The 27964-nt window shown below is 35.7% G+C and overlaps 1 protein-coding gene across 10 annotated transcripts in view; it reads right to left on the bottom strand.

The window, feature by feature from the left end:
- Positions 1-6120: 6120 nt before the first annotated feature.
- Positions 6121-27964, bottom strand: part of RNF217 (ring finger protein 217) — a 130198-nt gene continuing 108354 nt past the window's right edge. For 6 of the 10 annotated variants that reach the window (XM_011535494.3, XM_011535496.3, XM_011535500.2 and 3 more), the window contains 4 exons: positions 21897-22098; positions 17248-17319; positions 16192-16306; positions 6122-15891 (listed from right to left, as the gene is read on the bottom strand). In XM_011535494.3, the coding sequence (XP_011533796.1) occupies positions 15858-15891; positions 16192-16306; positions 17248-17319; positions 21897-22098 (423 nt within the window). In that variant the 3' untranslated portion in view covers positions 6122-15857. Of the gene's footprint in view, positions 15892-16191; positions 16307-17247; positions 17320-21896; positions 22099-27964 lie in introns of all 10 variants that reach the window. The other 4 variants (NR_104440.3, NM_001286398.3, XM_047418241.1 and 1 more) reach the window with 2 other exon arrangements.

Below are 27964 nucleotides of genomic sequence, written 5' to 3'. Positions count from 1 at the left end.
GGAGGGGACCCAAAAATGAATAGAACATGATCCGTGACCTCATGGAATTCACGTTCTTGCTAGAGGGCCTCATGCATAATATAAGCAAAAATAAATAACCAATCTGTTGGTGATTATATTAATAGAGCATGGTGGAAGGAAGAGTTCTGTTTAATGTCGGGGGTTGGGGGGGATCCCAATGTCTCAACAGTGAGCAAGGACTGGAGAGGTTAACTTGGAACGTGCTATCCAGGTTTCACCTCCACCTCTCACCTTTCCCCACACCTCTCCTCCTGCCCCAAGCTACTCTGTCTCATCCCACCCACCCACTCCGGGGGCTGATTCGTTCACTGCCCAGCCTGAGAGTGTTGATGACTGACAGTTCTAAGCTGAACCCACTCTGGAGTGTTCTCAGCTGAAAGGGTCACCTCCTCCCAAAGTCATGCTTCCAAGGGCAGCTCCCATTCAATGACTGATCTATGCAGAGTGTTAAGGCTTACTCTCATTTCAATTTGGGACAACTCTCTGCAGAGCCTTCCCAGCTTCAGGCTGATAGGTTATGGCTGATGAGCTCAGGCCTGTGTGGGGACTTCATTGCAGTCTAGTTTCTCTCCCTGCCCAATCCTGTTTATTTCACTCCTTCATAGATGTGCAGTAAACCTTAGCAATAAGCCTCCTGCATGCAAATTTCCATCTAGGAATCTGCTTCTCAGAAAACCCCATCCTGAGACAGAAGTGATAAAATCAGATTGTGTTTTTGTAGCATCACCCTAATAGCACTGTGAAGGATGCAGTGGACAGTGCCTATGGCCAGTCACATCACAGGCATGGGCAAAACAGAGGGGAAGCCTGAAGGCAAGAATCCCAATGCTTGCCATTATCTGAATAAGAAGGACAATCTGAATTAAAGGGTGAAGGTGTGAATAGAGAGGTTATTTAGGAGATATAATGACAGATTGAGCTAGGTTGGGTGAAAGATAGCCAGACAGGTCGAACTCCAGGTTTTTGTCTTGGGCACCTCATATCCATGCCCCAAAGGCTGCAATTCTCACCCTTACATATCTGAAGGTCTGAATGCCGAAGTCCACTAAAATATTTTTGGCCAAGCGTAAAATAGCTGTGTAACTTTTTTTCTGGACCAACTTTTGAGAATTTTGAAAAAAATTGTGAGTTTGACTCTCACATAGAGATATGCCATTCTCTTTTGGGGATCCATGATAACATGGGCATCCTCCTATGGGTGCTCAATAGCTATTTATTGAATGAATACAGAGAAAAAGTAAACTATTACCAAGGAAGTGATTTGGTTTTCATTAGCAAAGATGGGGAGAAGTCCAGCTGTGTGAAGAAGAATAGGGCCATTATTCATTTTGGAGCTGTCCTTCTGGCCAGCTGATCTGTACCTTTTTCTTTTGTCCATTTGCTTCACTCTAGTCTCATTGCAGCAGCCGGAATGATCCTGTTGGGACCTAGGGATGGCCATAGCACCCTTCTGTCTACAAACTTCAGTGGACTTTTCGTCTCATTCAAACTGAATGCAAATGCACTACAGTTACCCACCTACATTTGCAGCAATGCCCCCACCTCTCTGTTTATACTCATCTCCTCTCCTTCTATTCCAGCTGCTCTGGAGTCTTGCCTTTCTGAGCCCTTGTCTCTGCTGTTTGCTTTGCCTAGAATGCCCTGTTAGCTCATCAGTACAGCTCTCTCACCTCTCATACTTTTGCTCAAACTTTACCTTCCCAGAAGCCCATGCCCTTTTACCCCCACTATCTATCACTTTCCCCTGCTTTATTTTTCTCCCTTTCACTTCTATAATTTACTTATTTTGCTTATTTGTCTGATTCCTATACTAGAACGTAACCTTCTTATGGCAGACATTTTTTTGTCTCTTCTTCACTAATCTATAACCATGACTTGTAACAGTGTCTGGCATGTAATAGGTACTCAAAAAATATTTGTTGCATGAATAAATGGCAACTGTGCCTCAGACAGTCAATCTCTTTAGGCCAGGAGACAGGGACAAGTTTCATGATCTGCTGCCACTATTTCCATGGTGTGGTACCAGTTTTGGGGCCCAGGCTTTAAGAAAATGGTAGCTTCTGCTGGGCGCAGTGGGTCATTCCTGTAATCCCAGCACTTTGTGAGGCTGAGGTGGGCAGATCACAAGGTCAGGAGATGGAGTCCATCCTGGCTAACATGGTGAAACCTCATCTCTACTAAAAACACAAAAAGAAAAAAAAAATTAGCCAGGTGTGGAGGTGGGCACCTGTAGTCCCAGCTACTCTGGAGGCTCAGGCAGGAGAATGGCGTGAACCCAGGAGGTGGAGCTTGCAGTGAGCCGAGATCCCACCACTGCACTCCAGCCTGGGCAACAGAGCGAGACTCCACCTCAAAAAAAAAAAAAAATGAAATAAAATAAATAAATAAAAATAAAAAAAAAAAAGAAAAGAAAATGGTAGCTTCAATTTCCAGTCTATTTGGGATGTTGCTGTCAGAATTCAGCCACCGTATTGGTAGAAGGCCAGAGAAGCTTGTTGTGAAAACTATGGGAAAAAGAACGCAGGCCGTAGCTCACATAAACAAATGCTTGGAAAAAACAGAGGAACAATGAGGTCTCTGGTATGATGGAGATTCCTGAGAATGCTGCCAAGATTGTTCCAGCTTCATCTCACTTTCTCTCTGTCAGCAGCTTCATTCTAAACTGAGGGGATCGAAAGTAGAGAAATGTATTGTCTCACAGTTCTACAGGCTAGAAGTCTGAAATCAAGATGTTGGCAGGGTCATGCTCTTTCTGACAGTTCTAGAGGAGAATCCTTCCCTGTCTCTTCCAGTTTCTGGTGTTTGTTGGCAATCTTTGTCATTCTTTGGCTTTAAGTGAATCACTTTAGTCACATGACCATCTGTTGTAGGTGGCAGAAACATAGCTTCTGGAAGCTTCCAAGCTCACATTTCACAGCTGCATCATTAAAAGGGGATAGGGACAGGCTTTTTATTGTCTCAAGTTCAAAAATCCTAGGGAGGGGATTAATTGGCTTAACTTGACTTGGGTGTCCCTCTGTGAACCAACTGGTTTCATTGATTGGGGGGAGCATGAGAAAAGGTGGCAACTCCCTAATGAACAACGTGGTTGGGTGAGTGAGACAGAATTACTCAGAGGACAAAACAATAGATGTCAGCTAACATATGATAATTGACTCTTTGAGCAAAACTTTATATTTAACCAATATGCTACTCTAGAAATGTGCATGTTAAGCATTACCCATTAAAATAATTTGCCTTTTAGAATGCTTCATATCACAGCCCTGACACAACGTCTAGGAGTGATGCTATTATTCTGCGCTACTTGTAACTGACATCAATGAATCATTTTGTGTTGGCCAACATGTTTAAAATGAAGCGTGGTCACTAACAATAATAAGAACTAACATTTACTGAAAGCTTGTTAAGAGCAAGGCACTATTTTAAGTGCTTAAGCATGTATTAAAACTCAGTTAATCCTCACAACTAACCTTGGAGGCCTGCACTATTATTCCCAATTTACAGAAAACTGAGTCACAGAGAGGTTAAGTAACATATCCCAGGTTATATAGCCTGAAAGAAGCCAACTTGGGGTTTAAATACAGGAGCGTAGCATCAGCGCTCTTACCTTCTTCACAAACCTACCTCAATTGTGATTTGAGAGTTAAAACTGGGCCTACCAGGAGTTTCATTTCTAATAATCTAATCATTTCACTTTCAATACCAGTCTCCTAACAGTACCTTATTGAAATATACATTTAATTAACAAATATGTGGGGCACAATATTGGGCAAGGGTGAGTAAGAAACTCCCTAAGCAGGGGCTCGATTGGTGACTGACTCATCATCTTTCAATGGACTATCCCGGCTACATTAAAGGCATTAAAAAAAAATCGTTGAGTGCCAGATGACATAATTGGCTCAAAATAAGGGGGTGTGTAGTTTGATAAACACTATTAAATGCCAGAATCACATTTGGCCTGCTCAACACTGGTAGTGGTACTCTGCAACCAGAATGCCAGAAGAAACAGGAGATTCATGGTTCCCATCTCAGTTTATGCTGGAGCATATGTCATGACACACATTTGTGGTAAATTGTGTAAGTTAAATACATCTCTGCTGTTTTATGTATGTGTGTGTTGGCAACTGTAGCTATAATAAAAAGATATCACCATTTTTGTCTTTAAACATAGCAGCTTGGGGCTTGGAAATATAGGAAAACAGAAGGAAATTATGAGGGCTTATTACCATGAAAGAGACTAAATGCAAATGGATTTAAGGAAAAGTTAATTTAGAAAACACATTTGGCACTGTGTGTGTGTGTGTGTGTGTCTGATTTAAAAAGATTAGATGCCATTTTTTACCTGTCAAATTGGCAAATATTTTTTAAAAAGAGATAAAATAGTTTTTGTGAAAATGAAATGAAATAAATACTCTTGTAAACTGGTGATGGGAACATAAATTGGCATCAACTTGAAATGGTATCATTTGGGTATATGTGGGAGCACGTGCTTCATAATTGTTTTTAGAATTCGACTTGCAAGTCCATTACTAAGGGCTTATCAGAAGGTTTTTGTTCAAGAATTTTCACTGTAGTCTGCTGATAGCAGGAAACTATAAATAGCTAAAATATATGCCATTTGAAAGGTTAAACATCATGTTTTCAAAGGATTTTAGCGACCCAAGAAAGACAATATAGTATCTTTTTTGCTCCACTAATTTTTAAAATGGAAGTATAAAATACATTCCAGATTTTTTTTTTTTTTTTTTTTGACAGAGTTTCTCCCTGTTGCCCCTGGAGTGCAGTGGTGCAATCTCCGCTCACTGCAACCTCTGCCTCCTGGATTCAAGTGAGTCTCTTGCCTCAGCCTCCCGAGTAGCTGGGATTGCAGGAGTCCGCCCCACGCCTGGCTAATTTTTGTATTTTTAGTAGAGACAGGTTCCCCATGTTGGCCAGACTGGTCTTGAACTCCTGAGCTCAGGTGATCTGCTTGCCTCTGCCTCCCAAAGTGCTGGGATTACAGGCTTGAGCCACTGCGCCTGATCCAGAATTTGTTTTTTCGGTTTCTTTTTTTTTGAGACAGAGTCTCGTTCTGTCGCCTAGACTGGAGTGCAGTGGCGCAATCTTGGCTTACTGCAACCTCCACCTCCTGGGTTCAAGCGATTCTCCTGTCTCAGCCTCCTGAGTAGCTGGGACTACAGGCGCCTGCCACCACGCCCGGCTAATTTTTTTGTATTTTGAGGAGAGACGGGGTTTCACCATATTAGCCAGGATGGCCTTGATCTCCTGACCTCATGATCTGTCTGCCTCAGCCTCCCAAATAACACCCTCATGAAGTAACAGACTATTTCTATAATCGTAGATTTTTGATTCCCCTTACCAGTCAATAATACCCACCCCAAAAGTAATCACCGTTCTGACTTCTATTATCATTGATCAGTTTTGTCTGTTTTTGATCATCATATAAATGTGGTCCTATAATATATACTGTATTGTGCCTGGCTTCATCTGCTCAACATAGTATCTGTGAGAGTCAACTGTATTTTTGCATAGATTGCTCTGTAATTTTTCAAAATTAAGATTATTTTCATTCTAATTGTTCTATAATATTCCATTCTATGAATATATCACAATATATTCATGATTTTACTGTTAAGGAAAATTCTTGTACTTACCCTTTGGTCAACAAAGGCCATTCTTTCCTTAGTGACAGATCTAGGAAAATCATTGCTAGGTTATAGAGTAGGCGTATATATTTGGCTTTAGCAGTTTAGTGGTTTCTGCTTTCCCACCCCTGTATAGGCCCCTTGGTCTAGAGAGTAAAGACCACCCTAAGCTGATCTCTTACTTCCACACTATTTGCTTCTTTTTCATGCCTCATGCAGAATGTTTGCACTGATCTTCACTATTCTGTGCTCTTTCCCCAAAACGTGCCACAGCAACACAACACAATCCACCTTCCCAAAAGCACACCCTTGAATTTCTGTTCATTCCTGCTCCTCCATTTCTAGAGTCCAATGTAGAAATTACTCCAGTAACTGTAGGCACAATAGTTTTGTTGCTGTGAAGTTTTATTTTTAATTTTTTAAAAATCCAAACCTATTGGAAAAAAAGACAAGAATTTTCTCTTTTAAAAACTTTTATTACGCATTGCTAAATAACATTGCATGATGTATTGCACACATCATGTGGTAAACAGCACTCCACAGTAATCCATACAATAGCTCGTACAATGACCATCAAAATAGTTTGAAAACCGTTATAGTTTTCATCCGAGTGAGTGTCTTTATATTCTTCCATGCAATCTGATTTCATAATTAAGATTACTCTTCCATTCTACAACAACCAACCGAAAATAATTTTTTATAAAAGCCCAACCACAACAAAAGGTCATTGGGACATTACGAAAAGTCGGAAATTAGACTCCAAAATATCACAAGGTGTCCGTCTTTTGAAAGACTTGTCCCTAAAATTTGTGTGATCTGACACTTGGGTTGCTTTTACCGCCAGCAGCATGTGACACTGTACTTACTGAGAAGGAACAGTACATTGACATATCGACTGAAAATTCTTGAGGTAATAGATTTTTAAATTTCACTGCTTAAAAAAAAAAATCTCTTAATTTTCAGGTCCTGTCCAGCAGGACCTACCTGTTGGCAGGAAGATTCTTTTCCTTTTTTTTTCTTTGTCAAATATTTACACATAACTGCATATACAACCTGTCTTTGTCTTTTCTAAGCACATGGTTTAGTTTAATTATTCAGCATACATTCATCAGGAAAAGTTGAATTATATATTATGATACATAAAGAATATAACAAACCTAGCATTTTGTATAAAGCTAAAACAAAAGGCACAGATCAAGAAGAGCAAAATAACATATTATATAAACAGGGTTGATGTTGATAAAGCTCACTGGGAACAAATAACATGTAAATAGCAGACACCATGGTTCTCTAGCATCTGTATGAAAGTATATTACTGACAAAATATTGCCAAGAATAAGTTGTAAGGAACTGGTCAAATTCCTGAAGTACCATACAGTTACTTTTATTTTTAATGCTTTTTGTAAAGTAATTTTGTCCTAATTGGAGCTATAGATAAAACTGAGAGTCATTTCAACTCCTGTTCTAAACTTAATTAGCATTTTTTATGGTTTTAAAGTACAATTCAATTTTAATGGCTTTAATTTCTGGTGTTTAATATCCATTTGTATAGGTTAGCTTAAAAATGAACAATGAATTTAAGAAAAATACATTGGCTAACCTGTTTTAGAGATAATACAGTAGATTAAGGTAGCAAACGCAGCCTATATACATCCCTAAAGATATGCTTTCTCCTTAGCACTTTAAATAGAGGGACCAAAGAACACTCACAAAAAATATATGGCTCTTTAGATAAGAAATAAAGTCAAGTGAAAAAAATAAGGCACTAATAACGTATATGAATGTTATATACTCATCACACAAAGCACCATATGGAAGGTTAAAGGGATTATACATTAGTGCTATTGGAAAATGAGAATAAACCCAGTTTCCCTGGCTTTTATTCACCAACTTCTTCCTTTATTTTCAGTAATTAGAGTGTAAATGCTAACGTGGTAGAAAAGTATATACTATGCTAAAAACACAATTCATGGAAACAACAGCATGAAATAATAATTTGGAAATAAGTTGATTGCTCTAAAAAGTGTAAGAAATTAGGTTTTTAAGATACTCCTTATTTCTCAACATTTCATCTCAACGTAATTTTTCCTTTGCAATTTCTTTTGAGAGATTTCTGCATATCAACATTGTCTAATTAAAAAATTTACTCTACCCCTCTCTTTCATAAAATATAATCAGAATGATTTCTTCCACATAGTTTTGTGATTATCAAAGTTAATAGTATAACTAATGAAATGGAGAAAAGGTTAAAAAATAAAATTGCATAAATATTTTCCAATATCATTAAAAAGAATCAATGAAATCTCTTTTCAACCCGGTCCATTTTAAACTTGAAAAATATTATAACTTACTTTATTTGGAAAATGGCTGCAAATTTTATAGAAAACTAAAAATATGCAATCTAATGAAATGATGGACAAGATCTGGTACAAATTACTATTCATCTTATGATCAAGAAATTTCTTCTAATTTTCTATTGTTAAGGAGAATATAATTAAAATGGAATACATTCTGATACTTAGAGGATGACAATAATTCCTTAGAACTGTAATTTCTGAATATACAGTAATAACAGATAAACACTCGAATTTTTTTCTCTTTAATATTTTACTCTATTTGGGAAAAGAATGAATAATTGTCCCACAGTTTTGAAATAGATATACATTGATATAAATGTTTGTTTCATAAAATTGCCTTACAATTTTGTTTAAAATAGAATCAAAACAACTGGTTCTTTGTTAACATTTTAACATCACTGTTGTGTTCCTTCTACAGAAAATCATTTCTGTCATCTCTCAGAATTTACTAATTACTATGTTAATTGCTTCTAAAAGCAACAAAATTGTCAATTTTCATATTAAAAATCTGTAACAGATTGTCCTTGTCAAGGTAAATGGTTTTATATATATACAAACTAATTATTATTCTATGTTTCACGTGAAACATAAGGTTGGTCTACTTTTTAAAATACCCTCTAGAGGATTGCAATTGTGATGAAAATGATCAAATAATAAAAGTAAGCTATTGAGGAGTTGCCATATGACACTTAAAAAAATGGGTCTTAGAAGGGTTTCTTGTCAGCTGATAATGAAATTATGATACTTTATCTAGACTTTTCATTATAAAGAAACATAAAGCATGCTAATTTTCTATAAAATGAAAGAATTTAGATATTTATATCAAAAATTTAGATACTAGTGGCTTGAAACAATACAAATATATGGGGATATTGAAGAAGTAATACATTCACAAAAATGCTGTTTTTAAGGATTTGATTGGATTACTAAGAATATTTCCCAAGCTGGGGCATGGCGAAGTGAACACATCACAGATTCGCAGAGAACCAATGACAGCATAGCTTGCCAGCCACAAGAATCTAAAAGGACATTTCAGCAATTTCTGGGGTCCTTTAACACTCAAGTCTGTCTCTCCCTTTTTCTTTCCTGTTATGTACTGAATCTATACTAAATATATTGAGTGTGGCATATCTAAATCATATCAATAAAAAAGTCAAACACTTGCAAATGACAAATGTTTTCTCTAGAATAGGGTTAATATCAGTTACATTCAATGTGACCTACTTTAGATTATTAAAAATCTAACAATGTTCACAGAGCATGAATCCATAATTGAATCTTATATACAAATGCTACACTATATAAATCCACCCCAAGTCCAAGCTGTAGGACGTTTTGCTGAAACAAAGACCATAAACCATACCTATAACCCTTTTTGGATGGAGAATGAATGACCTGGGGTCAGGTTGGATGAATGTCCACACATGCTTTCTGTCCAACTAATACGCAAACACAATATTGATCTTACAACAGTCACGAAGCAATTTCTGAAGCTTGGTTTTAGACTATTATTAGGCCCTCTGATCCAACTGGTATCTTCATTTGCTTGACTTACTTCTTGGCAGAGGGCTAGGCAGTGTTCTCCAACTCCTATCAAGAGGGAAAAGTGTTCCAGGCACTCCTGATACATTTCCATTTACAAATAAAATAAGCCAAGGTAAATTATGCTCACTACCAGAGCTAAATTCTGGAGTGCGTTCAGTGTTGAATTCATTTCATTACAGTGAAAGGAGTTACGGGCGAGACAGAATTTATCCCACACTTGGCCAAGATGGGAAGAAGACTGCAGAGGCAAAAATCAAGATAATTAGGAAATTTAAGAGAAAAAGGAGCTTGATGTTGTAGTATGTGGGTATCATTTCACAAGGAAAGTCATTTAGTATTAATAATGGAATAGAGTGACAGAATATAGCACAGAACTGAAAAAAAGTATTTTTTATCTTAGTAAGTCTGAATAATTTAAGTGATACAAAGTTAGATACACCAAATGAAAATTTTTAGAAGAAAAAAGGAAGTGACAAAAAAGGGCAATGGCAATGTTTTGTGTATTTAAAAAAAATTATTGCCTTTTACATTCATACTGTTATTCTAAAATAGTCACTTCTCTAGCCAAAAAGATATATATAGTTTGTAACATGCATAATTACATTCTTTTAAAACTGGCAATATGTATAGGGATTTTGTAAGGTATGTGATATGGTAAAGCTTCAGCTAATGCTCCAAAGAAGCAATGAGAATAGTCTCACTACTGTGACTCTGTTTCTTGGATTTGGATGAAGTCAACCAAAGTTACAGCCTTACAATTAGTAACAATAGAAGTCCCACACAAAGTTTGGCTATGAAATGTGTATTTGTTCTATTTTCAAAATCAGAGTTTCAAAGGAGTCCCACTGTAATTCTTTCTTAAAGATTTGTATCATTGGTTTGCATCCAAAAGGTAACATTTCACAATCTTAAAATACTCCCCAAATTTTGGAACTCTGATTTTGTTCTGATAATACTTTAATGCTTCTATAAAATTATTTGTTTTATCAAATTAATAATTGTGGCTATAAAAATTAACAATGTGATTTTGAAGACAGGCATAGTAGGCACGTGCTTGTAATCCCAGCTACTCCAGAGGCAGAGGAGGGAGGATCGCTTGAGCCCAAGAGTTTGAGACCAGCCTGGGCAACATTGAGAGAACCTCTGTCTCAAAAAAAAAAAAAAAAAAAAAAGAATTTTGTAACTTATTTTCCATATTAGGGGGACAGTATCATAATTAAATTATAACTTTAAATACAAAATATGCTTAAACTTGGGATTGGTGTGCAAAACTGGTAGTTTTGATTGATCATATTTTTAGTGAGGGAGATTTCTTTTATAGAATTCATGAATTATGAAATTGCAGTTAAAACTTTCAGTATAAATTAATTTAATATTTTAAACAAACATTCCAATTAGGTATATTAGGTAACACTTATTAAGTATTATTTGCTAGGTTTGATAACCATTCCAAGATTACTACAATTTCAGAAATTGCTACTTTTCTTCAGGTATGTTTTATTTGTTTTAAATCTTTAGCTTCTGATTCCTCCCAAATTTAAAGAGATGACACATATTTGCTAACACTGTTATCCTACTGTCTCCACTGAAATATATGTATCAGTTGCTTTAACTTTGTATACTGTCTCCATTGAAATGTATGCATTGATTGCTTTGTCATTATTTAAATGGCACAAATATTTTAAAGTGCATTACAAAATTTTAAGGCTATATTTATAATAGATATTAACACAAAACAATAAAGCAGACCATGGGAAAGATCACTCTCAATAGTTGGGAGAGATTTCAGCCACAAATATGGGAGAATAAAAATATAATCCAATGTGAAGACTCACATTAAGGCTTATGTGCAGGTTGCTTATAAAATTAAAATCTAAAAACGTTTTTTGGCATACATTTTCTTATTTTTGTAGTAAAGTATGCCAATTAAGGTTATAGAGGCCACTAACTTTTTTGTAATTCTAATGTAACAGCCAGTATAAAAGTGTAATGTTAAAAACAATTTCATTTAACAAGGGAGAAGCTGGACTGATGTCTTGGCAGATGTGCCCTCATTTGACAAAGGTCAGGAAGGAATTCTAATGTTTCCCACATACCAGAGTGAGTTTTTAGGCCCCTCCTGTCTCTCCTCTTCTCCTTCAGTGAAGAGGAATAGTTAGAATAGCAGAGGTATGGAGAAAAATGAGGTTGAAGAGGGGCATCAGGGACTGGAAATGATTACAGTGGTTCATAGGTATTTTAGGAGAACAGTTGGTCATATACTTGGGTGGTAAGGTTGAAAGATAAAGGCTCAATTGGAGCCTTGGGACTCAAGAGATAGTCAGAGTCACAGAACAAGGTATTTTCTGACAAGCACCACTGAATCTTGATACCACAGCAGAGAAAGTACAATTAAAGATATCATGTTGTAACCTGACTTGTGTTTAATTATCTTTGTTTTCTTGTCTGTTCTACTCTTAGGACACAATAGCACCTATGAGAAAATCAAGGTGGTGGCAACAAGATGTTGCTTGTACCAAAAGGTTTGACCCCTCTCTTCTTACTCCACATATATAAATTATTCCACGATTTATAATTATCCCACCAAATCACTAAATCGTACATAATCTAATGTATTTTTCTGGGAATTGCTGTGGGCATTTATAATTGCCAACATATTCTTTCCTACTTTTCACAATGGCATAATTAAGTTCCTCTGTCAAGCAACATACACAAAAGTGGATAGTGTTACTAAAAATGCGAAAAGTATCACCAATTTGGCTTGGGTATTTGATTTAAATCCCTCAAGTTTTAAAATGAGGCAATCCAAAAGTCAATTCATCTCTCTCACATTATCTGACACACATCTCCTCAAATTTTATTTTTATTGAAAAAAAATTTCCTATTGTAAGTTTTGGCAAGGTATTTATTTGGCTAATCAGGCAGAAAGGAAATTACCCTTCAAAAGACGATTTTCTTTAAAAATTATGCACTCCTGTACAATCTTTCTTTTTATCCAAAAAAGGGTCTCATATTATCTCTATGACCTCATCTCCTGAAATTACATTAAAATGTTTATTACAAAGATCTTGTAAAAAACAAATGTACAACCTTATGGATATGTTCATGCAAGGTGACAAAAATATATGCAAAAGGGTCTTCACTCTTGCTTTCTTTGTAATAGAGAAGTGAAAATAATCTTGTAGTCCATTCAACAGGGGACTAATTCAATAAGTTAAAGTATACTCCTACAATGGATTATGCAGTAATTTATAAAAGAATGAGGTAAATCTATTTAAACGCTTATGGAAAGGTATCTATTAATATATAATAAAATGACAAAGAGTCACAGCACAGTAAGAATATTTTTCTATTTGTATAAAATGAATACACACACAGACACATACACAAACACACTTATTTGTATATTTGTAGAAAGTGTCTGGAAGGACACATACCAAACCATTAACAGTGGTTACCCCTAGAAAATAAGAGGTGGGGTAAGTAGAGAAAGTTGTATTTTATAAATTCTGTATAGTTCAATTTTTTAAAGTAGTATATATTAAATTTACAATAAAAGCATATAAAATGACAAGCCTTGGATAGAAAGATATTTATTTTATGTGCACGCTTCTTTTTAAAGTAGTTTTTAGAATTTCTCCCAAAAGTTACTACTACTGTTTTACCTTCAAAGTTGGCACTGACATATAAATAATACTTTTTATTTTCTTCTCTCTTTTTAAGATCTTGATGAAACTTAGTAAAAAATTCACAAATAATCATTTTAAGTTACCAGCAGGGAAAGGCCTAATAGATATGACCCTTTAAAGAGAAAAATGTGTATGTTAATTTAAAAATATCTACTCAATAGAAAAATGAAAAACCTGTGCAACACAGTGCACACTATTTCAAGCACTGATGAAATAGCCATCACTGAAAACAGACACCACTTTGTAACAGGAATATTGGAAAGTTTTCCAAATAATATAAAAATATGTCCAAAAGATAAGTTATTTAAAGAAATAAAAATCCCTGAGTAGGCCAAAGACAACAGATACATAACCCAGAAAACAGATTATCCAAGACAAAAGAGTATGTTATTCAGCCCGTTGGTATATATGTATATGGCATATGTGTTCATATGCAGTTATGGGAATATTTCATATATATCATACATATGACATATATACATCATACATATACAGATCAGCTAGGTTTAGAGTTCATCATATTCACATATTGCCAAACTAATGCCTAAGTTCAGGAAAGATGAATTTACGAAACCTTACTCTTATGACAGGTTAGAAATTCTCCTTCTTTCAGTCTTAAATACTATTACACCTAAGATAGGCACTCAATAAATATCTGTTAAATGGATGGATGGGTGAATGAAAAGATAAATTTGTGAAAACAGAGCATCACTATTTCTTGTATTATATTATGCTTTAGAAATATGCTATTCCCAAACCATAAATGTCACACACTCCTCTAACTGGAAATAGACAACTAATCCAGAAGCTGTAGCACAGTTATTCTGTGTTATTCAGAAAGAATGAAAGCATGCTGGATTGTTATTCACGCAAGTCAACTTCACTTTTTATGTCAAACAAAAAATAAAATATTCTTACACTCTGGAGCCCAACAAAAATAAACTACTCATGTTAATGCATGTTTTATCATATCATCTATTTCAAATCAGACAAGGTTGCTGACAAATAAATGTACATCTAAGACAGATGACTAATTTTAAGAATTTGGAGACAATTTAAAGCTTTAGGCTTTTTAGGGGTCTTTTTTTTTCCTGTTTGCTGATGAACTTTTGTGATGAAAGCAAAGGCATATCATAGTCTAGTTACTTGTCAATTTCTTATTTTTAAAGCTTTTGTAGGTTGAGAAAAACTTCCTGAAAATATTTCCTTCACTTTTTTGTTTCCTTTCCCAAAAGCAGCTGATATTGGACAAACTCAAGAACATAAAAAGTTTTCAAACTCCTCCATAAGAAGGTGTCCCCAAAAATATTATGTTTGAGCAGTTAAATGTAAGAAAAAATCCTTCAAAACTAGTATTTGTTTTTATGAAAAACCTTGAAAACAAATAAAAACAGAGAGGAGGAGGCAAGAGATAACAAGGTTAGGATATTAAATGATGTAAGACCTTGACCTAAAGCAGAATTATCTATAATTACAAGTTGGTTAAAAAATTAGCAGAATAGGAATTTTTTAAAGGCTTAAGCAGTTGTCTACAGCAAACTTGTTTTTGGGATTAAATAATCCCAATGTGAAGGATCTATCTATAGAGTGAAGCATGTTTTCCAAAATGTAAGAATTTTAAAAAGACTGAATATTTGTGTCTTGAGAATTTCCTAAAAGCAGCCAGTTTTGTCAGTTTACAAAGCTTAATACTCCTTGGGGTGACGTTGCACAAATTTCTGTGTTTGTGTGACAAAAAGAAAGAGCAAGAAATAGAAAAGTTCAGTATCGAAATGGCCTGTTGTCTACATTGACTTTAATTTAATACATTGCTAAATTATGTCCACAAAGGAGCCATCATCTTTCAATAGGTCTATGAAAATGTGGAAAAATAGTGTAGCGGCATGGAACTGGGTAAGTACAAGGTTACTGGGCCTAGTTTTAATACATATTTATATACACACACATTCACGCCCCTACGCATATACACTTCAGTAACTTAATATTCTTCTCATTAATTTAGTTTCACTCATTCCCTTTTGGACATTGAGATTTTTTGCAATTATAACATTTGAAAGATAAAAGAATTATACTGCTGGGGCCACAGATTATAATAGGTGCATTCAGTGAACTCTTATCTTCTGAAAAGTGGCCTTGCTTGTTGGTACAGATAGGACTTCAGCTATTAACACCAAGTCTCACAAGATGGCCTGGAAGGAGGTGCAGAGTTCAAAGACAGTCCAAGCAATTCTCAGAAGAGGCGTGCTCAGAATTCTTAGGATAACTGGTTCTTAAAATATCTTCTTCCAAGAACCACAAAGGTCAGAGTTATGATATAGATGTTTATAGTTTATGAAAGTGACCATTTTTTAAAAGCAGCAGCAATTTGTTTAGGGAAAGGACAGGATACCATGTTGGGAGTGCACCATAGCTAGAGGCATTGTGGCCCACGGAGAATCACTGGGAGATGAGATGGTAGAAGGTTCCTCTCAGTGTTTTTCAAGATGTGACTCACAGATGGGTGTACCCTTTGGTATCGCTCCTACTCCAACCAGCTTAGCTGGATGAAATCATCTGCATGTTACCAGTGCATACCTGTCCGTGATCGTTTTCTCTGTTTTTTACAAAGGCAATAGATAGGAAATACAAATAAACCTAGGGATAAGAAAAAATTAAAGTTAGTTAGGATGAGAGGCATTTAGGTTTTCCTATTTTAAAATGTCTATGTTTATTTATTTGCAGTGTACGAACATACAAAGAAGAAGACATCTATGCTATGAAATGTATTTACTTCTTCAATATTTCATTCTTTAATATTTCCCTTTAGCTTTTCTCCCCTTTAGCACCCTCAGTGATACCAGTTTAATAATAATGATTTCTATCCAAATATCAAAACTTTGGTTTAAATCTTCTTTATTGTCCACAGTCATATCATTTGCACACTATGATACTCACACTTGTTTCAGGCAGTATAGCATATCACTTAACAACACAGGCTGTGGAGCCAAATGTTGGGTTTGATTCCTGGTTCTACCACTTATGAGGTTCCAGTAAGTCTTAATTTCCTCAACTGTATAATACAGATAATAATATCTATTACATAATGTCCTAACTCACATTGCAAGAACTTAAATGTCAGATACTTTATAATTCTATCTGTCCTGCACATTTATTACTTGCTAAACCCAAGTTGACATACGAAAATCATTTTATTTAGCAAAAAAACCCCATCTAATATATGGAACAATGATCAAAGCAGCCTTTATCTATAGCATTTAGCTTAAAATTACTAAAGCAATAGTTCTCAAAGTATGGTCCCTGAACCAGCTGCATGAGCATCACCTGGGAACTTTTTAAAAATAAAAATCAATGGACTTTTCCCATATACCGAGTCAGAAACTGCAGACCGAAACCAGCAATGTGTGTTTTATCCAGCCCTTGAGGATATTCTAAAGCATGCTAGAGTCTGAGAACCACTGCTTTAAAATACACATTTTAATATACTTGCATAAATAAAACTATGCAAATCACTGCAAGGTTTTCTATTTGTCAGTGCTCAAGTGTATGTTGGGTATATGTTCCTGTACACACTGACATTATCTGTTTGTACCTATGGCATCTTTTACTGGACCAAATGAAACACATAAGGTGCAGAGCTTCTTTTCCTTGATGCTTCAACCTGAACTCAGAATTAGAAAATTTGGGTTCTATTCCACTTGCCTTTTTCCCTAAGGATACTAATTCTATTAGCTTTGTGTTATAAAAGGGTTAATAATGCTTTATAAGGTACATGAATCACAGTGTTCATAGACTGAAAAATTCATACTAACATATCCTACAGGAAACACGCTCCTCTGACCTTTTAAATGATATGCTGGTAATCTATCTAAAGCAGGCATACAACATAAATTATGTCCACTTAATAACTGATTCATATTATTACATTTACACTCGTATTCTCTCTATGGCCCTCAGATAATTCTAATCTCAGATGCATGAAGTGTTTCTTACCGATTACAACCGCTATGGCCCCTAGTGCCAATCCCAAAACCATAATTAGAGGTGCAATGAATAATTTTCCAGCTGGAAAACAAAAGGCAAAATTATTTAAGGAGTCTTAAAACTAACCTACCAAATAATTACAGTGATGCTTTTTAAATACCACAGTGTATATTATTTTTTAAGTAGTCTGATTACACTTAAGGCTGTATATATCTAAGAAATGTATCAGGATTAGGTATAGAACAGATATACACATGTAAGTTTAGTAACTTCACCAAAGTCCTGAGCACATGCATCAAACATAAATCACTTATCCTTTCTAACCAAAAACATTCCAAAGCAACTGGCTTACTGTATTCTACCAGGACAGTTCATCTTTGTGCTTTTCCTTAAGATCCTTTCCATTTTCAATGTTCGCAATGCTAAAAGATTAAGAAAGAAGTGGCACATTTTGAGTTGGTAGGAGAAAATCTTGTTACCTCATAACATGGAGAGCTGGTAGGTCCTACAGAGGGCTTCTGTCCAAGCCCACATCTAAAGAAGTGGTTTATTTACATCCTGGGTCCAAAGAAAACTAATAATATGAACGCCTAACAGACTGAACTAAAAATGGGACGTTTCAAGATGTTAGAGAAAACTATGAATAAATACCTAGTACGTTGAAAGTTACTCAAGTGAATCATTTTAACGAATTGAAAAAGGAAGCACTTATAAAATAAAAAGGCAAAGTGCTGGTAAGGATGTCAAGTGGTATCAGCCAGCATTTTCTTTTCTAAATGAATCACTAAGCAGTGATGATAAACTCTAGCCATAAGTATACATAGCAGAGTCCAACATCAGAATCCCACTGACTTTGAAAGACACAGGCACAAAAAAGAGGTTAGTAAATACATGTTGTTATTGTATTTTAAACCTTACGGCATGTGACACAGCTTCAGGGCCGCACAACTCAAATGCAATAAGAGATGAGAAAGAGAGAAACTTTGCAGTAGACTCACAAGGCAATTTAAGGATGAAACAGCAATATCATTCTATAAATTAAAGGACAGTAATTTAGAATAATCAATTACACTAAAAAAGAAACTAATACAGCCATTTGTTGGAAGTTTGTCAAAACATACTAACTTTTTTATTCTTAAGAAATGATCTTTGGAACCAGATGACCAGACATGTATACAACACTGTTTTAAATATCTAATTTAAAAAGATCTCCATTCCATTAGCACCATGTCTAGATATGGGTTTTATTTATATTTTTTGCCAATGACAGAATCCAAGTAAGTAATAAGTCCCATTGAATAATTACGTTTAGTACACTCTTAAAGTGATGCTTAAGAGTTTAGAATATATAAGCACATATATTTTAAAAGAATGTGTTTTTCTCCTATGCACATAGCTCAGTCTGTTCATTCATATTTCCTTTTTAAATAATTATCAGTATATTTTCCTAATAGTAATAAAACATAACTAAAAAGTAACAGCATTGATTTTCTTTTTCCTCTCAAATATCACAGAATTGAAGGAACGAGATAGGAAATAAACTTATTCCAATTATGTAATCCATGTTCAAAACATGTTTACATCTACTTTTGAAACTGTTTTAAGGGACTAGGCATACTATCTCTTATTCCTAGGTTAGTAACATTGCTCTAAAACATCATTTTTAATTGCTATCATATCCATATATCGTATTTTATTTAAATATTCCTATACTTAATTTTTTGTTTCTTTTCCCTATTTTAAATTATACTTGCACATAACCCATTTTCAGTTTATCTAGATTTATCATGTTTTAAAATGGCCTTCACATTAGTATCAAATTTCTTTGCAAAAGAATTGTACAAAATTTCAATTCATTAAGTATGAAAGTCCAATATTAAGTATTAACTTGATAAAACATTTGCTAATCAATAGTTAGCAGATGTCTTATCAAGTTAATAATACTCAAAGTATCTCATTTTGAGACTGCCAATTTACATTTCTCTGACAGCTAGTAACACTGAATATTTTTGAACATATGTATTGGCTATTTGTATTTCTTCAATTCTGGCTCCAGGCTTGTCTTTTTTTTTTTTTTTAATTGAGTATTCATTTTTGGAGAAGGCTCCATTGTTTTTGTTTATATAAATTATTTGCCATCTAGAAATCAATTGAAGACCTATTCTTAAAAATTATACGACTTGATTTAAAACTTAGAATTTTTGTAAGAAGTAATATGAGAATTTAAAATTTATCCTCAGCCACTTTTATTCCCAGTACCATTCCTTTAATAATCTGCCCACGCCTCACTGGGGGAGATGCCCCTATGTCAGAGGCTGCTAATCATCCCCAAATCTCTCTTCTCCTTTATAATTTATGAGCAGAACCTCTGATCTCTAGCTGAGCACGTGGTTACACGGAATGAAGACCATGTTTCCCACCCTTCAGCTGTGAGAGAGATGAAGGCCCTTTCTCTGCCTCTGGCCAAGGACCACATGAGGCTGTATTCCAAGACTGAGGGAGCAAGTTGTGTCACATCACACAAGGACAGTGGGTGGGAGGGCTTTCCTATACTCCATCTTCTCTCTGAAATGGCAGGGAGTAAGTAACTTTGTAAATTACAACATTACTTTTCCTGCTATTTGTGGAGATGGGGGAGGGAGGACCACTTCACTTGGAGTTATGGTCCAACAGCAGTTAAGAGGCAGCTGTGCTTGGGGTGGGGAAAATATGTGTGGATGAGAGAGTTTATCTTAAAGCCAGCTGCTCCCTACTTTGACAAGCTTAACCTGATGTGATTTTATTTGCACACATGCGCCTGCACACACAAAAGACAGGCCAAAAAGGAGGTTGGGAGGTTGGGCCTTTAAGAGGTGATTAGATCTTGAGAGCAGAGCCCTTATGACTGGATTAATACCACTATCATAGGAGCGTGTTAGTTATCAAGGGAGTGGGTTCCTGACAAAAGGGTAAGTTTGGCTCCCATTTTCTGTGTCTCGTGGGCTTGCTGGCCCTTCTGCCATGCTATGGTGCAGCACAAAGGCCCTCACCAGATGCAGCCACTACATCTTGGACTGCTCAGCCTCCAGAACCATGAGCCAAATAAATGACTTCTCTATTTAAAATAAAGAATGGACGGAAACACACTGCCACGACCAAATTAAAGGTGGCACTGAAGTAGAAAATAAAATAACAATGCAAAAAATACAGTGATTTTGTGTTTTCATGTTGCTCTCTCCATATACAGATTTGCAAACAGCTTCTATCTCAGAACTTAATTTGCAATTGATTTTCTCATGGTATTAGAGGTTAAGGTTAGATTCCCTAGTTATCCCTCCAATATCTGTTTAACTAATACATACATATTGGTTATATAATTATAACATCCACCATATTTGCAAATTAAGAAGCGGCACGCACTGGAAAATCATTAAAAGCAGTCTTGACTATTGAATGCTATTGGCTGTGGAAAATTATGTTCCATTAACCTCAGGAAGAATATTTTTATAGAGATCACATAGATTTTAGAAAATGACGGCATTGGTTTCCATATGTGAAAGTGCATTTGCGTATACATGTTCTATCTTTTACCTGATAGAAATCTATCACTAACATCAGCTTTGTTCTGATCAGGTATCATATGCTTCTAAGGAGGAAAATGGTTCACAACAGTCATGAAGTGACCAAGGGCTAAGGAGAGATATAAAGATTTTCATAAAGCAACTAGGCAAAAGTAGGAAGGAAAACGGAAATGTGGAAGATGATAAAAAGTATTGCCTACACATGAGAAACACGGCCAGAAAAGGAATTCTAACAGACATCCATGTGATGAAAAAGGGGAAGAAATCTCACATGGTTACATTCCAGAGCAGCAGGGAATGGAATACATTCCAGAGGAGCAGAAGAAGAAATATTCCGCCGAAGAACCCTGCATTACCCAAAGGCAGTGGCATTTGGCCAGGGTGATTTGTTTATGGGCAGGTGTCTGTGTTTCTATTTGCATACTTGTGTACCAGTGTGGGAAGGGGTTGTGTATGAGGCTACTATGTGTTGTTGAGGAAGAGGGGGTAAAAAGTCAATCCACAAAAGCATTTTCACTTGGATAATTAAACTTGGGTTTGTATGCACTGAGGGCATTTGATACTTATTATATTAACTGTTACCTATTAATAATTAAAACAATGAAAAATATATGCAACTTATCACTTATATAGACATAATGGAACTCTATTACAGGGCTCTAAAAGGTAGATTTTTTCCCCTGCCTTCCTAGGCTACGCTCCATGCTGTACTGTATTGCAGGTCCTCCATGAATGAGTGGAGGATATGTGTACGACCTGCTGCTGGATATTGTCCATTACAAAAATATACATGACACTGCCCCTCTTGTTAAGTGGCTTACGACAGGGTTTCAGAAATTTAAGAGGCAAATAACTTCAGATTTCTGCGTGTGATTAATAAGCTGCTTTTTCAAACAAAATTACTACTTGCTCATATAAGTAGTGTCCTGGTAACAAAATTTAAGTTTTAAATTTTATTCTTAAAGGGTGAGAGAATATCCTCCTCTGAACACTGGGCACATGGCAGGTGCTCTGAATTACCATGGCTGCACATTTCCAAGTTCTATTTTCACTACTTAATTCCCAGGGAAGACACCCATAAGTATGTCAGACACTCACCACAGACTGACCCTCGCACTAATCTCCTTAAATGAGGTCTCTCTGGGAGGTAGCGATATTTGCATCCAAATATACTGAGGTTTGATGTGTGGTCTCCAAAAAATCGGAGCTGGCGGTATCTCTCACCACATCGGTAACAAAAATTAGTGTTACATTGTGAGCAGGTCATATGGTCACATCCTTCAGTTCGCTGGATGTGGATCTGTATCAGCAAGAGAGGGAAGGAGAAGGAAAGAGTTAGCTGAGTTTTTAAAAAGCAAAATCGCAAATTTTATGAAACAACACTTACCAGTTTCACCAAAATAAAAGTCTCTCACAGCACTCCTGAGGCTGTGAATTTGCTTATAATCATACCCTCCAAGATTATCCTTTTACCAAATACTTTCATGTGTGCAAAGCTTGATAATATTTCAGGTACTCAAGCTGTTGGCTTATCTTGACCAATATAAAAGCAAACACATTCCAAGGAAGACACATTTATCTTTCCAGACATACACCTAATTCAACGGTTAGGAGGCAATTTAAAATGCTTTGAAAGTATATTTTGTTTATGCTATGATCAGCAAGAATGAGCCAACTTGGGGGAATAAGCAGAGATAAACAGTATTCCTTAAAAGAAAGGATTACATAAAAGTTTTTGTGAATAAATACCAAAAAGCAGAGGTCTCTTTGTTGAAGGAAATTATAGCAGATATAAATGTATTTGCAATACCTTTTTAGTTTTCAGCTCTAATATTATTTGTAAATGTGTTGTTTGTAGAACTGTTTGTACAATACCATCTGTGCAACTAAGCACCTTCCTCTATTGTTGCAGTCAAGTTACATGTAAACACAGCTTCACCCATCATGTAACAAGGATTTCATTTTTGGGTAGTTCACCATATATACATATATATGTATACCATATATACCATACAGTGGTGGTATGGTATATATACATACACCATATATAACATACAGTGTGGTAGTCACCGCCTCAAGCAGTGAGACCATGTTATAATCAAGACTTTACTCTTTGCGATAAAATTGGAAACTCAACTCAGAATCCTCATGGAAAGATATTGTATAGAAATTAGAGCCATCTTTATCTGTGCGTACTTTGTTGCATGAATAATCATAAAAGACAACATAGTTTAACTTAACATTATTTAATCAAAATACATAATATTTTGGTTACATTGCTGATATGGTTTGGCTCTGTATTCCCACCTAAATATCACCTTGAATTGTAACAATCCCCACGTGTCAAGGGCAGGGTCAAGTGGAGGGAATTGGATCATGGGGGCAGTTTCCTTCATGCTGCCCTTGTGATAATGAGTGAGTCTCAGAAGTTCTGATAGTTTTGTAAGCGTCTGGCATTTCCCCTGCTTGCATTCATTCTCTCTCCTGCTGCCCTGTGAAGATGTGCCTTCTGCCATGATTGTAAGTTTCCTGAGGCCTCCCCAGGCATGCGGAACCATGAGTCAATTAAACCTCTTTTCTTTATAAATTACCCAGTCTCAGGTATTTCTTCATAGCAGCATGATAATGGACTAATACAATTGCCCAGTTCTCCTGTTACTAAAATGAGACCTCCTAAAAATAGTCTACTACTTCACTACGGCAGGGGTGTCCAATCTTTTGACCACACTAGAAGAAGAAGAATTGTCTTGGGCCACACATAAAACACACTAACACTAATGATAGCTGATGAGCTAAAAAAAATTGCAAAAACCATCTCATAATGTTTTAAGAAAGTTTACAAATTAGTGTTGGGCTGCATTCAAAGCTGTCCTGGGCAGCAAGTGGTCCACAGGTTGGACAAGCTTGCACTTGGAGTAGGTACTTGCTCAAGTCACATCTTTATTCATTCACATGTGAGTTCTTTGCTTAGAAATTTTATTGAAAATGCTCCTGATACCATTTTGACTAGTGGAGGCTTCTATTCATTGTGTTGTTTCGGGACTAGAGTGTCAGTGAATGTTTTAAAGCAATTGGGAGTTTTACAATTAACAAGTGTGTCAAATCCTTCAGTAGTTGTTTGACTCTTGTCAGTCAAGTCTTAGCCATAAGCTAAAACTCTGCATATTTCCTTTAAAATTATCCTTTCCTTCCCCTAATACAGTGTATTTATTTGAATGTCTGAAGTAGTGTAGTTATAACTGCATTAAAAAAACTGGTCAATGATTATGGAGGTGGGATAAAATCATCCAGGAAAAAGAGAAGAGTTCTGTGAAAGGAGAAATGAAAAGGTTGAGAGATGAAAATTTTTCTTTACTTTAAAATAAAACCTTGTTGTATAGCTTTTAGGAATAAAAAGTTTTTGAAGTTCCTAACTCCAAATTATGTGCAGTATTTCAGTTTTAGGGATTAAATAACTAAAATATAAAACTGCAATTTAATGGAACAATATGAATTTCAAAAGAACTCATGAGGCTGCTTGTGAACTAATAACGGCCATTAATCATAGTAATCACAAAAATGTCACTTAAAAGATAACACCTCTCTCTCCCCCTTCCTCCCATCCCTATCTATCTATCTATCTATCTATCTATCTATCTATCTATCTATCTATCTATCTACCTATCTTCTGTCTACCGACCTACCTAACTGGAGAGTTTCTTGGTGACTGTGATCATTTTGAAGAAGTAATAATTAAGTGGAACACAGCATATTACAGGCGGGCACTTCATACATGGGGAAATGAAGGGACCAAGAAAGAAAAGTTTGTCAATTGGCTGGCAGGACTTTATGTATTCAAAATCGTTAGGTGAACTGGGAGGTGAAATGTCCATTCCTTTCCAGTGGGTGACTGACACTTGGCAGGTAAGCTTCTGCCTTACAGAGAGGTTGGAAAGAACATGAGCTTTGACTTCACAAAGCCCTGTGTTTGAATTCTAGCTCCACTAGCTGTTTAAAAAGAAGTTACTTTACCTCTCCCAAGTGTCAAGTTAGATAATATTCCCTACCAACCAGTGTAAAATGTGATAACCTATGCACAGTGCCAAACTCGTTTTGGCACATATGGAGTCAGGTCAATATAAAGTTGTTTCCCATCTACTTATTCCCCTTTACCCACCTAAAAATGCCAGAAATCAAATACCCGGGTAATTTAACTGCAAGTTCCTGGACTGCCAGGCAGTCCCCTTTCTTACTTCTTCATATGGGCAATTCTTAGGCTGATGCTGGACTAGAGAGTGCTTTCCTAGATAGGCAAGTGTGTGGTCAAGGGCATATAAGCACCTAGGGTCGAGAGTTACCAACAAATCATGATTTGGGCAAGAAAAGCAAAACTCATGTTTCTTGCTATGGGTTGCCTTATCTAACTTTTTTAGTCATAGTGATTTTTTTCCTTTTACATGACAGACCAGTAGCAGTGGATCCAGGTTTTGCAAGGCCTGTAGATTGTTTAATTTGAGAATCCTTCTTTAAGCAAAATAATCCAACTTACAAAGACAAATTAGATACAAGGCCTAAGAAGGGGCCTGTGCAGGTGAAGGTCTTTGAAGCTTAAGCCCTTTAGCTTTCTGTGAGTCAGCTCCTAGTCCAGCACTTACCCTCTGTTGTTCATGTTTATCAATGGTTACTGTAGCCACATCCATTTAGCACAGTAAATGGCATTAGGAATACCACAGGCCAACAGCCCTACTGGACCTCTGAATCATTTCTGATCCTTATTTAAACCACATGAGCACTAGGACATATTTGAAGACAACTGCCGAAAACCCAAAGCATCGTACATTCAACTTTTTGACTATATATTGTGTTTGATCTTAAAGTGGAGATAATACGACTTAACAAATTTCCTGATTTGACACTGATAGCAGTGTCGTGGGTGATCTACCAAGGAAAGAGCGCTAATTTTTGCGTAGAGCCTATTATGTGCCAAGCATTGTACACAGATTAGCACTTTTAAGCCTTATAACTGCACCATGAGATTGGCATTCTTCTTCATAAACAGAGTTCAGAAAAGTAATCTGCCTGAGTGATAATCCTCGTGAGTGAGAAAGATTTTGAATCCATGTGTTTCTTTATTATGCTAAGTAGCCTCTTATGATGAACTTAAAAGGTAACACCAGAAGATCAATCATATTATTTGCCAACCAGTCAGACAAACATGTCAGCTCTCCCTCCACAAGGTATATCTGTGTCTTCTTGTTTTTGCCATTCTGTGCCATTCTTCCTTCAAATGGCATCACTTTTCCTGACAGAAAAACTTGTTCTAATAAGTTTTGCCTCATATTTCACATATAATTTTCACTGTAATTTTATATCTGTTTGTAATATTGCTTCATTGGGTTCTAAAATCTTTATGTGGCCTATTTATTATTTCATTTAAATAAGTTTGCACTTTCTAGCCTTTCTCTTTTAACAGTCTTTCCTTATTAGTATTATTATATTCCAAATGCAGCAGGCAACTAAAATACCGTTGGTCAAATAATATTTCTGTACAGGAAGTGGTAAAATTGTAAGCTCTATAGTAACCTTGTACATTTTGGGATTATATGGCTCTATAGATTAATTTGAGTATTTTATACACATAATCACGGAAAAAATTGTTTCATCATTTACCAACTGTCAAGTACACAGTGCTGCCTTTAATATTATTATGAATATATCTTGATTATATATGAATATTTTATTTGACACTAACAGAGAAATAAACTAGCAAAATGCAATCTGCAACAGGAGACATTATTTTTCACATTTGCTAAGCAAGTTGTAATTTTAAACTCGTACTACCAGGGGATAATACATTTCTTATGCTGATGAATTCCCCAAGTACACCTTTATCAGTCTCACTTTAACAGTGTCATCTTTGTTTTTAAAACACAAAGCCTTAAAACATAGGTTTAAATTATATTTACAGAAAGTTCATTTTGTTCTCAATGAAGCTGTTTTTATTTTTTATTATAGCTCCAAAAATATTCATGAGTTTAGCTCTGCTAAAAAATAAACTAACTGCCCAAGTGGCTAAAATTTAGTATCAAAATTCTCTTTTTACTTAAAAGATGGAGAAAGACTAGATAATCCTAATCCATTAGATAAAACTGGCCACTCATAAATCATGAATGACATTTGAATTGTTAGTACTCATAGTTTCTTCTATCTATAACAAATAAGGATGACTGACATTTAAGGAATTGAATATTTAGGCACCAAGCATTACTTATATCTTTCTATACTTAAGGTCATAAGATGAAATGTTCAGAATAAGCTAGATATTCCCTTATAAGAGTTTGATATTAAGTCCACATTGTAGTAGATGGAAATGACACAAGGAGCCATTTTTGTGCCTAGGATATTCTTCACAGGATGGATTAAAACCTGTAATAAGATATACACACACACACACACACACACACACACACACACACACACACACACACACACATATGTAGGCAGATGCTCCAAGTTGAAAATATCATAGGTTGAAAATGGGCAATTTGTAGACATGGGATGTGAAAAAACAAAACACAATATCCAAAAAATGCTGGCAACCCAGTCCACTGTGAGTATCAGTTGTTCACCCTCGTGATGGCACGGGTGACTGCCAGCTGCACAGCTCGCTGCCACTGCCCAGCTTACTTTGAGCCTGGGAAAAGATCGAAATTCAAAATTTGAAATATGGTTTCTACCAAACGCATGTTACTTTCACATCATGGAAAAGTTGAAAAATCGTAAGAAAAGTCGAAATCATGTCAGACCATCCTAACTTGGGAACCATCTGCATGAAGAAAATAGTACCTGTCCTCCTCAAGTTGTTTACATTTAATTCAATAAAATGCCCACAAAGTATCTAAAAAAAAGAACTGGAATGTGGCCTTTTATTTTCAAACAAGGTTCTACCTAATCATAAGGTAGAAGAATAACAGTAAATGAACTGCTAAACCTACAATGTTTTATGACTAAATCAGTATACATCTGCCCACAAGTATTTGTCTCCAGTTTCACCAAGAAATGAAGGCTTACTTTATTGTTTAAGCAGCATTTGATAACTAAGTTGACTGTTATGTATTACTGCCCCCAACAAATATTTTACTCTAGATAAAATCCTAACCTCTAATTCATTTTTGAAAGTATTTTTA

This window comes from Homo sapiens, chromosome 6, assembly GCF_000001405.40.
Source record: "Homo sapiens chromosome 6, GRCh38.p14 Primary Assembly".
Classification (NCBI taxonomy): domain Eukaryota; kingdom Metazoa; phylum Chordata; class Mammalia; order Primates; family Hominidae; genus Homo; species Homo sapiens.
This window is presented reverse-complemented; position numbering and strand designations above follow the sequence as displayed.